Consider the following 12,721-nt stretch of genomic DNA (forward strand, 5'->3'; position numbering starts at 1 on the left):
GGCCTGGTTTTGGCAAAAGCCATAGAATTACCTAACAGTCATCATCAAAAATACACTCACATAGAAACTTTAATGGTGTGCTCTTTTATTTTAGGTTGGCACATAGAAACCCATAAATGAAGGGAAATACCCTGGCATGCTCCAGTCCTAAAAACTACACAACACAGGCTGCTTGAGGTGGCCCACGCCTGTAATCCCAGCACTTTGGGAGGCTGAGGCGGGTGGATCACCTGAGGTCAGGAGTTCAAGACCAGCCTGGCCAATATGGTGAAACCTCGTCTCTACTAAAAGTACAAAAATTAGCCAGGTGTGGTGGCAGGCACCTGTAATCCCAGCTACTCAGGAGGCTGAGGCAGAAGAATCCCTTGAACCCGGGAGGCGGAGGTTGCAGTGAGCCGAGGTCGCACCACTGCCCTCCAGCCTGGGTGACAGGAGCAAGACTCTGTCTAAAAAAAAAAAAAACACAACAACAACCCTACACAACACAGAGTTGTTTAGTTTGTGGAGGCACAAATTGAAATATTTTGGTGGAAAATTCTTCCTGGAACCCATGGAGAGAGCAATAGCAATAACAGAAATGTTACCTGCACAAATGAGTACTGGTGTGTGTGTGTGTGTGTGTGTGTGTGTGTGTGTGTGTGTGAATACTTCAGTACTTGAAAAATATTCATTTTTTTGCTTCTTCCCCCCACCGCCATCCCCTATTCCTGCCCTGGGTTTGTAGTGGATTGTATACCAGTGTTGGGATACTTAAGCCAACTTTTCCTGCAAATATTGTATGTACATCTGTATGAGCAAATTCTCATCAAGAAGAGCTGGCCTTTGGGCAATGTTTGTGAGCAAGTTTTAGCCTTTAGCTATAATTGTGCTTCCAAAAGTCTAAGCATCTCAGACAAAAGAGAAAACTCTTGATTGTTTGAATATGATTGAAATATGGTAGTACTGAAATGTTTGCTTAATTATTTGACCCCCAAATGCAGTCATCTGTGAGTATCCATGGGGGATTGGTTCCAGAACCCTCTGAGGATACCAAAATCCATGGATACTCAAGGCTGTTATATAGAATGGTATAACATTTGCATATAATCTATGTACATCATCCCATGTACTTTAAATAACCTCTAGATAGTTTACAATACCTAATACAAGGTAAATGCTATGTAAATTGTTGTTACACAGTATTTAGGGAATAATGACAAGGGAAAAATATGTGTACATTCAGTATAGACACAACCATCTATTTTTTTTAAAATATTTTTGATCTTCAGTTGGTTGAATCCACGAATGTGGAACCCACAGATACGGAGTGCCAACTGTACAAGTTTGGGACATTGTTAATACCATAGGTATCTAGTGAGTGGGTGATGGGCTCATTTGTATTTAACATCAAAGCTGCCATTTAATTGAAAAAGTTTAGCTTAACAATAAGTGAGTTCCTACTGTGTTCCAGGCATATTCTAGGGGCCAGGGAAAGAGGAACTAGATACAAGAAAGGCAACAGACTTCCAATGGTAGTAAATATAATCAAATGTTATCCATTCAAGAATAGAAGTGCTGAGAGAAGTGGTGAAATGGTGATTCCATGTGGATAGGGTGTGTGGAGAAGCAGCCAGGCTTCTCAGAAGGGATGAGTGCTGAGCAGTTTGCTGGCTGGCTGGGAGCCGTCGAGTGGAAAAGGAAGGGAAGGGCTCCAGGAAAGGGCAGCAGCAGCTATAAGGGGGTAAAACAGCTTGTGGTGTGTCAAGAAGTTGTTCAGAGTTGTTAGAGCAAAAAGTGCCTGTGCGTCTGGGGTGGGCGGGGCTGAGGGTTGGAGAGGAGGGAAAGGAGGCTGAGGATAGGCCAGCACCACACTAGGAGGAACTGGCCTGCGGGTTAAGGAGCCTAGCTTTTATTCTCTAGTCTAAGCAATAAAAATTTTTTGCAGGAAACCTTAAGCAGGGGAGTGACTGGTAACATTAGAGCTTAGCAATATCTTTGAGGCAGAATGGATTTGGTTGTCAAGATAACAGAGGCAAGAAGGTGGGGAGGATACTGGTCTTGAAATCAGGGGTGGAAAATTACAGCCCATGGGCCACATTTGACTTTATTGCGTCTTTTTTGTGGACCCAGAAGATAAAAGCTTTTACAAATTTTCAATGGACTTAATGATAGGAAAATCGAACTTTAAACACTAATTAAGCAAAATATTCCTTCTGACAAAATAATTCTTCTTGTTAGTAGACATTTTTTTCTCAATTATTATTGCATTTTAAATTTTGTCAATTAAAGAATGTGGATATTTGTATTTTTTTTAAATATAAACACATAGATAATAAGTTTGATTTTGCCTCATGGCCCTCAAAGCCTAAAATAGTTACTACCTGACTCTTTACAGAATAAGCTGGCCCACCTCTGGTCTAAATGAAAGATGATTAGGACAGCATGGGAAAGTTGGAAACAGATCAAATAGAACCATCCAAGTATGAGTGGCTGTCCAAGGATATTAATGGGCTGGATATGTATTGATTGGTTTGGAGAATGCAGGAGTGTAATAAATGTGTTTTTGCTATGTGGACAAAGTAGTAAGTTGTCTGTATCATTTTCAGTTAATTGTAGTATCATGAAGTTGTAACTTAAGATCAATAACATTAATGCATTGTAAATGCATTTTTGTTTTCTATTTTTATCAGGTTTAAAGTTTTAAAGTTCATTCATATTGGCATTTTTTACTCATTTTCAGGTAGCTAAAACACAATTTCTTACTCTTTCATTTTAAAATGTTATTTTTAAGAAGATAAGTAATAGTGCAGATGGTTTGAAAAAAATCTCAACAGTATAAAAAGATACACAGTAAAAAGTGAATTTCCATTTCACTTTGGTCTCCTAGTCCTGCTTACCAATTCTCTCCAGAGGCAAATTATTTTGCCAGTTTCTTATACTTCATGTCTACACGTATTATTTTTGTAATTCACAAAGTAATGTACTCTGCAAACTATACTGTATATTCCCTTAGTCAATTAATATGATTTGCAGTTACTTTCATATCACTTTCTATAGCTTTTTCTTATTCTTATTAAAAGCTGTGGAGTAGTCCAATGCATGGCTGCTGCAAAAAATAACAGTATACCTACATTTTTATGCATTTGTTATAGGATTTCTTCAAGAAAAATTTCTAGAAGTAAAATTTCAGTGCAGGGCATTTGTGTATTTTAACTTTGAAAATATTGTCGAATTGACCTCCAAAATTTAAATCAATTTATAACATCACCAATTATGTATTATAGTGTATATTTTCTTACCTTTTTGTCAAAATGATATAATAGTCAACTTTCAAATCTTTGCAAGACTGATAGATGAAAAAATAAGGCATTTTCTTGTAGTCTTAATAAGTGCATTTCTCTTATTGCCTGAAGTTGGACATTGTTTCATATGTTTAAAGGTCATTTCCTTTTCTTTGAATTGTCTGTTCATGTTCTTGGCTCATTCTTCTTTTGGGTTAAGATTCTGTTTTAAAAATAAAACAATTCTTGAAAGTATTATGTCAAGGAAAGAAATCTTATTCAAGTCAAACTTTGTAGACAGGAAAAAAAAAAAAAGAAACAAACTGGTGTTGATCAAAGGTTTTGATGACTTTACCAGAAACAAGAATTTTCCCCACTTAGCTTCCTTTGATACCATATCCTGAGAGATTCACACAAGTCTATGTGATCTATAATTAATATTTTGGTGACACATCTTCCCTATTGAATAATCAATTACTGGCTCAAACTCTAAATTAAAAACTTTGGAAGTTCAGATCCAGGGTAGAGGGAAAAATAAAATAAAATCTCTTTTACACGACAGTGCTAGTCCGAAAATGATTAGAATAATAGCAAAAACAGAAAGAAAACTAGCAAATTTTAATTCATGCAGAACAATTGAAAATTATGCAAAAATATACATTTGAAACAAAAATGGAATTTGGAATTAAAAATAAAGTACACACGCACACACACATGCTTATTTGAGTAAATTTTAAAGTCAAGTCTCATACTGCCTTGGAAAAACACACTTAACAAATAAGAAACTCTTGCTTTGGCTCAAAGAACATGTTTTAAATGAGACATATGCTTGATGACTAGACTGCTTTACTTGGGGCCTGTGTTCTTTGCCTATGCATAAAGTTTCATGAGGTTTAAAACATAGGCTAAAATCCAAAGTAAAGTTCCTCAGAGGTGTGAGTCTGAGCTCAGCACCTTTGTGATTCTTTCTGTCAATAAGTTGTTGAAAAATTACAAAGATCTACACATGCACTTTGGTAAATACAACTGGTAATAGACACCCCAGGAACATGAGGGCATTAAACGAAATGAACTCTAAAATTCTGTGCTTATATGAGTAGGACCGTTAAGAGAAGCTCAATCCAAGCTCTGACATGTCTCCATGGGGCAGTTAGTGACAACCTTCAGAATCTTGTCTTTCCTGTATAGAAAAGGCTACCAAATGTCCTCACAAGTATGCTTTTTGGGAAATCTGAGATGTCAAACAGATGTCATCACTTAAGAAGCATTGCTATCAATCAAGTTAGCATCTTAAGATTTTTTTTTTTTGCTTTTATCAGTGTTATTTAACTAGCAGCTCTTAAAAGGAAAACAAAGCTGGAAGCAGCCTAGAGGAATATTTACTGTGATAGTCTCTGCTAAGGAAAGCCTTTGTTGTGGATTCAAGAATCTGAGACATAAAGGGATTCTAAGACTAGAACTGGTTATTTTGGTTTTCTTCATAATAGAGCATTCGATATCATTACATATGGAGAATTTATTGAATTGGATAATCCTTTATGCATTTAAAAATATATATATCTTTTCAGCTTTTAATAGTTTGTACTTTCATGCTCACGCAAAATTTGGCCTCAACCCACTATTTGATTTCCTGTGCTCAATCTTTATATTCTGAATCTAAGAAGCTAAACTTTTCCTTGGCAAATTATTATTCCAAGTGGCCCAATGCTACATGTGTGGCCTTCAAAACACTTTCTGGGTCAGCTTAGACAATAGTGACATGGTAATTTTTAAATTTTCAGTAAGAGATTGGTTTTGATTGGCTTATCACATTTGTAAAAATGGTTTATCATATTTACACTACAATTTCATTTTTTGATCTCCTTTCTCTCCTTTCCACCTCTCACCATCTACTTTGTCCCTCATCATCGGCTGATCAGCTGCCTGACCACTGAGACTCCTTAGCCCAAGGAGTTCCCTGCCACCCTCCTGCAGATGTCTTGCCCTCTCCATGCACCTTCATACTTCATTTTCCCATCTTTGCTCTTTTAAGTGGCCAGGAACCTTTCTGAACATTATTGGGACAAGATGACAAGATAACTGAAGGGAATAGGTTCATGATTATCCAGTTGAGAAGAGATTTTCTTAAAGGTGTTTATATTGTTTGGAGTTTTTCTTTTCGTATTTTCTGGAGTGACTAAACTGTTCTTAGGTGCTCAGGTAAAGCGGTTGAAGGACAAATCTTGTATCAAAGCAAAACTCACTTGTCTTGTTTTCTGTTGTTCTATTTTCTTCCCTGCAATTATTTCATATCTTTTTTAAAACAAAAATCAAATCTAGTCAATCCTGTGCTTTAAACCTTCCTCTGGTTCTTGCTCTTATTGTAAGAAAAAGCTTGAATTTGCTTAACAGGGCTTTCAGGTTGTCTGTGATCTGGTATTTCTCCTTACCATTTACTTACTCTTCTCACCAGTCCTAAGGAGGAGTGAAGGCCTTTCTGAAAACAGAAGGCCTCACTGTGGAACTCAGTTCTTTCTGTTCTGTAGGCCTGATCTTAAGCAAGTGACTCAACCTTTCTGTGCCTCAATGTTTTCATCTGCTCTTTGGAATAATAACCGAACCTATTCATGGGGTGGTTGTGAGGATTAGATGAGAAAACATATGAAAAGATCTTAGAACAAGTCTGACATACAAGAAGTGCTAAGAAAGTGTTTGCTGTTGTAAATTTTATTTCAGTTCTTCTAAGAGGCTAGCTCCTTTTCCTCCAGGTCTTTCTACCAGCTCTTCTTTCTTTCTAGAACTTTCTCCCTTTATCACCATTATCTGTATAATTTTAATACCTTCTTTGTATTAGGGATCTCAAGAGAAGCTGAACCAATCAGACGTATATATAGATAAACAGATCTATTATAAGAAATTGGCTCATACAATTATGGGGATAGGCAAGTTCCAAGATCTACAGTGTGAGTTGGCAAAGCTGTAGACCAAGGAGAGCTGATGGTTACTTTCAATCTAAGTCTGAAGGCCTGGGAGCCAGGAGAGCTCATGATGTGGTTCTCATTCAATGGCTGATAGGTTTGAGACCTAGAAAGAACTGATGTTTCAGTTCAAGCCTGATGGCAGGAAAGAAGCTGATGTCCCAGTTCAAAAACAGTCAGGCAGAAAAAATACTTTCCTCCTGGGGGATGGTCAGCCTTGCCTTTGTTCCGAGACTGTCCTTTTTTCCTGGCCTGCGAGCTCTCTGAGCACAAGGATGTGTTTATCTTATTTTCCACTGTATATTTAATATCTAGTACAGTGCCTGGCACATGATAGGCATTCAATAAATATTTGTTACATAATTAGTCAACTAATTGAAAATTATAAACCTTTTCCATTTCTGATAATGTAGATATTCAAAAATATCCAAAATACTATATAGAATACTTTAAAGTATAGTAAGTAAACTATCTAAACACAAAGATGATTCTAATTATATTTATGAGAACTATTTAATAGTAATCACAGATTCTGAGTCTGATACTAAATCTGTCTTGGTGATAAGCATCTGGCAGAATGTGCTGATGTTTATTGGCAGAAAGCATTATGCATTTTAAATTCAATCTAGTATTTATATCCTATGGTAAAATGAACATAAATAAGCTAATTTTAGTTTACCTTGGCAAATACGTGATTCATTCAATATATTTACATATGTAAATCAACTAGGAAGTTTAAGACAGTTTAAAAATAAGCATCATAATATAATCTTAAACTTGATAAGCCTTTCTACCTTCAGCAAGAATCCTTTCTTTAATAATTCTTGAAAGATTGTATTTGTATCATCTTTCCCCCAGTACATGTTGGGAGATATATTAGGATTATATATATATTTGTACCAATATAACACACACACACACACACACACACACACACACACATATATATATATAGTTTAAAAATATCTATATATATTTTTACTGTCCTCAAAACCTTCCAGCTGCCAAAGGCTTGTTTGGTAAGCTTTGATTTTATGCTCCTCTTGGCTTTAGACTTTAAAAATATGGACAATTCTTGTTATTTGCAGTAGTTATATTCTATAAAGTCACTGTGAGCATTTAATTAGTGAATACTGAACCAGCACTCCTAGCAGAAAAACAGGATCAGGTTCCTGCATGTCTTTGATTATAATATTTTTGTCATACAATCAATACATAACTTTGTTTTATGTGTGTTTCTGTTTGAAGACAACTTCTTGAATATACATTGTTGATTCATTAACATTAAACTCATGGCTAACAGTGTGGCAACTCATGCCTAATTCATCTAACACATGTATTTTCTCAATAAAACACATCATATCTTTCTGCACTTAGTAATACTAGACAGCATTCAGCCTACGCTTAGGGGCCATTTAAAAGGGCAAAATCACCAACAGAGAGTTTAAACAAGAAGGAAGAGTGTTACTTTATTTGACCTCAGTTGGGAATGTATGTGTCAAGCAACTCAAATTTTTTTCAGCTCATCACATGCATGTGAATGACCACAAAATCTCTGTATTGCTATGGTGGTTACAAATAAATTTAATGTGTAGGCAAATTTGCAAATATAGAATCTGTGGGGATCAATTGTACCCATATCTGTGGATGTTTCTTAAGGAGTTTTAGAAGGGATTTTTAATCAATATTACAAAGTTAGCCTTACAGTCAGCTGTTACAGCAAATAGTTTCCACACACTGTTATATATGATATATATATGCAGGTATGTCGGGCTTGTTAAAATTCCCCTTTACTGTGAAACTGAATTCTGCTTTTCTTCTTCAGTACTGGGGATAGGTGTAGACTATGGCTACGAAAATTCTAGTGCGATTAATTTAAACATTCTGATGAAAAAGCTATCACACATTATTCTAAATTTGATTTTCAAAAACTTAAGTCATTTTCCTTATTTTCTATTTTAAAGATGAAAAACACTAAGGGTTAGACAGGCTAGGTGACTTGATCAAGGCCATTCTTCTAGCGAAGACAATTCCAGGACAAAGCTAGGTTTTTCCATAGTCTATTCTATGCTCATTTTCTTCACCTTGCCACTCTGTGGACAGATAACCAGCTTATTCCAAGTCAAAGCAGTGGCCCCAATCTCAGTAGCTTTCTATTGTAGTGGTTTCCAAAGCTTAGACTATATCAGAATCAACTGGAGGGCTGTTTAAAATACAGATTTTTGGGCCTCACCCCCAGAGTTTCTGATTCTGTAGATCTCAGCTGGAGCTTCAGGACTTGTTTCTATAAGTTCCCAGGTGATAGTGATGCTGCTGGTCCAGAGACCACTATTGGGAATCACTATTCTATCTGAACCAATTTCACTGGGTGACATTTCCCAGTGAGGCTGGTGGAAGAAGAGAGGGTGGGCTCCTTATTCTGCTGTGTTGTCACTAAGTTCTGCCACCTGTCTAAACATGCACGTGCAAACGCTTTCTCTATGATTGCATATTTGATTCATTGAGCTTTGAGATATTTATTTAATTCCTTTAAATCACCTGAGAGTAATTTTAAAAATTAATGTTTCTGGAATGTAGCTTTCAATATGGGACTGGCCAGGAACTCCTAATTAATGAAGCTATTAATCTCATGATATAATATAGGTCAAAGACAAACCGGTAAGCTTTTCGTTATGCAAATTTCAGAAGTTTAATTGTCTTACTAAGTGAGGGTAAGATCATTGTTTAGGATTGTACATGACCCACTTCTGAGAATGTCTCTCCAGAACTCTCCCCAATGGTAACATAAGCCTGTACCCATATTTCTACAACATGACTTTGCTCCCTGCTCATTTTTGGGAGGAGAATGAGTGGACACCTGACCAAAGGGCTGATCAGGTCCCTGCTCCCAAAACTTTGAAATGGAGACAGAGGTATTTGTTGGATTCATTAGTTTCAGAAACTGACATTTATTTGCAGGAGCAGGGGTGCCAGTCATTTACCTTTAGGTGCAAGGTAAAGCTGAGAAAGTAGCATGGAGATAGACACACACACATACACACAGACGAACTGGGCCCCCAGTGCTTTTCCAATTGCTGGTTCCAATTCCTAATGCCTCCTGACTGGAGATCTGCAAGATACTACTGATACTTTTTAAGTTTCTCTCTGTGATTTTTTGCTAGGTTGAATGGGTTTTTCTTTTTGTACTCTAAAAGCACCTTGACTAAGACAGTTTGTTAAACACGTACTCTTACTGACTTTATAGCACCACTTTTCCACAGGGACAGTATTGTAATTGTCAATGGATGGAGAATTTGTAGTGCCATCTCTTCTGGGAACTAGTTTACTGGACCTCAGGCACACTACTTCCCTGTCTCAAATCTCTCATCTCTAAATAGAGGAGAGTTGGATTAGATTATTTGTGAAGAGCCCTTTCAACTCTAATATTCTTGAGCTTAAAGAGAACAAAGTTAATGGAGTTTGTCTGTTCTTGGGGTGGAATCGTAAATGAAAGCTTTATAATCTTAGAGGCTGAGTATTGGCAGAGGCAGCAGTAATCAAGTGAGGGATACTAAGGAGAGACTGAATTAAGGAAAGAGTCAAGGCTACTTGAACATTATCCCTAAAAATAGGGAAAACTTCTGGATAATTCCAAATTTATTCTTTGCTAAACCTCTGTGCATTTTAGCACGAGGTACATATTAGAATCACCTGGGGATAAAAAAAGTATAAAATTTTAAAAAAAAACCACTAATAACAACTAGTGCCCTGTCCACACCTTGGGCGTTTAAATGATAAATTCTAGGGGCTGAAGAAGGGCAGACATAGGTAGATTATAAAACTCTCCAGGGGATTACAATTTTAGGTAAAATTGGGAATCACTATTTGTGTTTGTTTTAAAAAGTATGTAATTAACTTTAAAAGCTCACAGCTTAATAAAAGCATGATTAAGAAGTGGGAACATGGGCCAGGCGCGGTGGCTCATGCCTGTAATCCCAGCACTTTGGGAGGCTGAGGCGGGCGGATCACGAGGTCAGGAGATAGAGACCATCCTGGCTAATACGGTGAAACCCCGTCTCTACTAAAAATACAAAAAATTAGCCGGGTGTGGTGGCAGGCGCCTGTAGTCCCAGCTACTCAGGAGGCTGAGGCAGGAGAATGGAGTGAACCTGGGAGGCAGATCTTGCAGTGAGCTGAGATTGCGCCACTGCACTCCAGCCTGGGCGACAGAGTGAGACTCCATCTCGGAAAAAAAAAAAAAAAAAAAAAAAAAGAAATGGGAACATGCTAGTAAAAGTAGAGTTCCTATAGACATAAAAAAGAAAACTTAAAACATAAAAAAGAGAAAAAAGTTGAGAACTATAAATGTCCTGTGGTCTGAAGACTTTTATAATAGTGGTCTATGTTTTAAAATTTCTTAAAAATACCAGGGTAATATAAGATAATGAAATATTTGACTCTCAAAAATCCTGGAGTTACCAAGATAATGTGAAATATGCTTTAGCATATCCTTTTGAAGAATGTAAGTAAATTAGCATATCTGTAAAAAGGTTTCTATTAAAAATGGTTTGAATAAAAAAGAGAAAGCCTCTGTGTCTAAGGTAAGGCTTCTCTATGCTAAAATTCAGTAATGAAATAGTCTTAATCTCAATGTGTCAGCAAAGCGGTTTGCATGGAGCTGAGCATGGTTTTGCATGGAACTGAGTTTGCATAAAACTGAGATAATGTAGGACATCTTAAGGACTCACAAAAAAGGACTCAATTTTAGCCTTTGGACGTTCAGGTTTCATTGGAAGAGACCAATGACCTAAGAGCAAATGTTGTTGTCCATAGTTTATGCTTTTCTTCATTCTCATGATTCAGCTTCTCTCTGGTTTCTTCATATCTTTCCACCACTTACTCTCTTTCACTTTTGGTATCCCCTTTACTTAATAGATTCTCCATATTGTTTCTCGGATGCTTAACACTTCTTTGTTTGTTTGTCTATTGACCTAAAGGTCCTTCAGTCCTTCTTTTATTGACCTACTATATTTTGGACATTAGGGGCACAGCAGTGAATAAGGAGAATATTTCCCTTCTCTCATATAATTGACATTTTTGTCAAAGAAAAAGACAATATGAAAATGATAAGTAAATAAGGTGATTATAGAATATGATACACACTAAGGGACACTAAAAGGTGGATATAATGGAGAAAGAAAATGGTGAGTTTCTTTAGATCACTGATTCAAAATTTGGCTGCAATTACAACCACCTGTAGAGGGTTTTGTTTTGTTCTGATTTAATACTGATGCCAGAGTCCTAGTCTGAATTACTTCTCAGGGTTGGGAAGTAATCAAGTCAGCTGAAGTTTTTATTAGCTTCCTAGGACATTCTGATAAACAGTGAAGACTGAGAACGACTGCTTTAGAGGAAAACCTCTTGAAGAAGATATTTGAGCTGAGTTCTGAAGGTAAAATAAGCCAGCCATGTAATACATGGGGGAAAGGGGAGGAGATGTTTCCAGAGATAGGAAACAGCAATAGCAAAGGACCTGAGGTGGAAGAGAATTTGACATGCATGAGGAACAGGAAGGAGGTCAGCATATCTGGGGCACAATGAGTGAGGTTGGAGAATGGAGATGCAAAGAGGCAGGCAGAAAGTAGCTTATGCTAGAGTTGGAATTTTAGTTTATAAGGAATGAGAAATCATTGAAGAATTTTAATCAGGTAAGTTACCCGATCTTCTGTACTTTTAAAAAGAACACTCTGAGAAGCCGGATGGTTCCCTTTGTAAGTGATCTGACCTTTTTCTCTAGCTGCCTTTTGACTTAGCATTCCCATTACTCAGTATATACCCAAAGGAAAGCCAATTGTTCCACAAAAAAAAAACACATGCACTCATATGCTCAGCACAGCACTATTCACAATAGCAAAGAAATCAATCTAGATGCCTATCAACAGTGTACGGATAAAGAAAATGTGGTACATATACACCATTAAATACTGTGCGGCAATAAAGAGACTGAAATCATGTTCTTTGCAGCAACATGAATGCAGCTGGAGGCAATTACCCTAAGTGAATTAATGCAGAAACAGAAAACCAAATACCACATGTTCTCACTTATAAGTGGGAGCAAAACATTGGATATACATGTACACAAAGATGGAAACAGTAGATGCTGGGGACTGCTGGTGGGGAGAGAGAGAGGGAGCAGGAGCTGATAACTGTCTATTGGGTACTATGCTCATTACCTGGGTAATGGAATCAATCATATCCCAAAACTCAGCATCATGCAGTACACCCATGTAACAAATCTCTACATGTACCCCCTTGAATCTAAAATAAAAATTGAAATGACTTTAAAAAATCTTTTAAAATAAAAGAACACTCTGGCTGCTATAAGGAAAGTGGATTTTGACAGGGCAACAGTGGTGATGGAGAGACTGGGTAAGTAGGCTATGGTCTCAGTCCAATAGAGAGATGATGGTAGTTTGGATAGGATGGTGGCAGTTGGGTGGAAGGAGAGCATTGGTAAAGGAAATA

The 12,721-nt window shown here is 37.0% G+C and overlaps 1 protein-coding gene and 1 long non-coding RNA gene across 2 annotated transcripts in view; one reads left to right on the forward strand and one right to left on the reverse strand.

Moving 5' to 3' along the window:
* The window catches only part of IGSF10 (immunoglobulin superfamily member 10), a 187,494-nt gene that overhangs the window by 165,037 nt on the left and 9,736 nt on the right, over positions 1-12,721 (reverse strand). Inside the window, exon 2 of the mRNA XM_011512709.3 lies at positions 3,279-3,483. The gene's annotated coding sequence lies outside the window, so the exon portion shown is untranslated. The remainder of the gene's footprint in view (positions 1-3,278; positions 3,484-12,721) is intronic.
* Positions 1-12,721, forward strand: part of LINC02066 (long intergenic non-protein coding RNA 2066) — a 105,814-nt gene that overhangs the window by 45,312 nt on the left and 47,781 nt on the right. The gene's annotated exons all lie outside the window — the stretch shown is intronic.

The sequence above is a fragment of the Homo sapiens genome, chromosome 3 (assembly GCF_000001405.40).
Source record: "Homo sapiens chromosome 3, GRCh38.p14 Primary Assembly".
Classification (NCBI taxonomy): domain Eukaryota; kingdom Metazoa; phylum Chordata; class Mammalia; order Primates; family Hominidae; genus Homo; species Homo sapiens.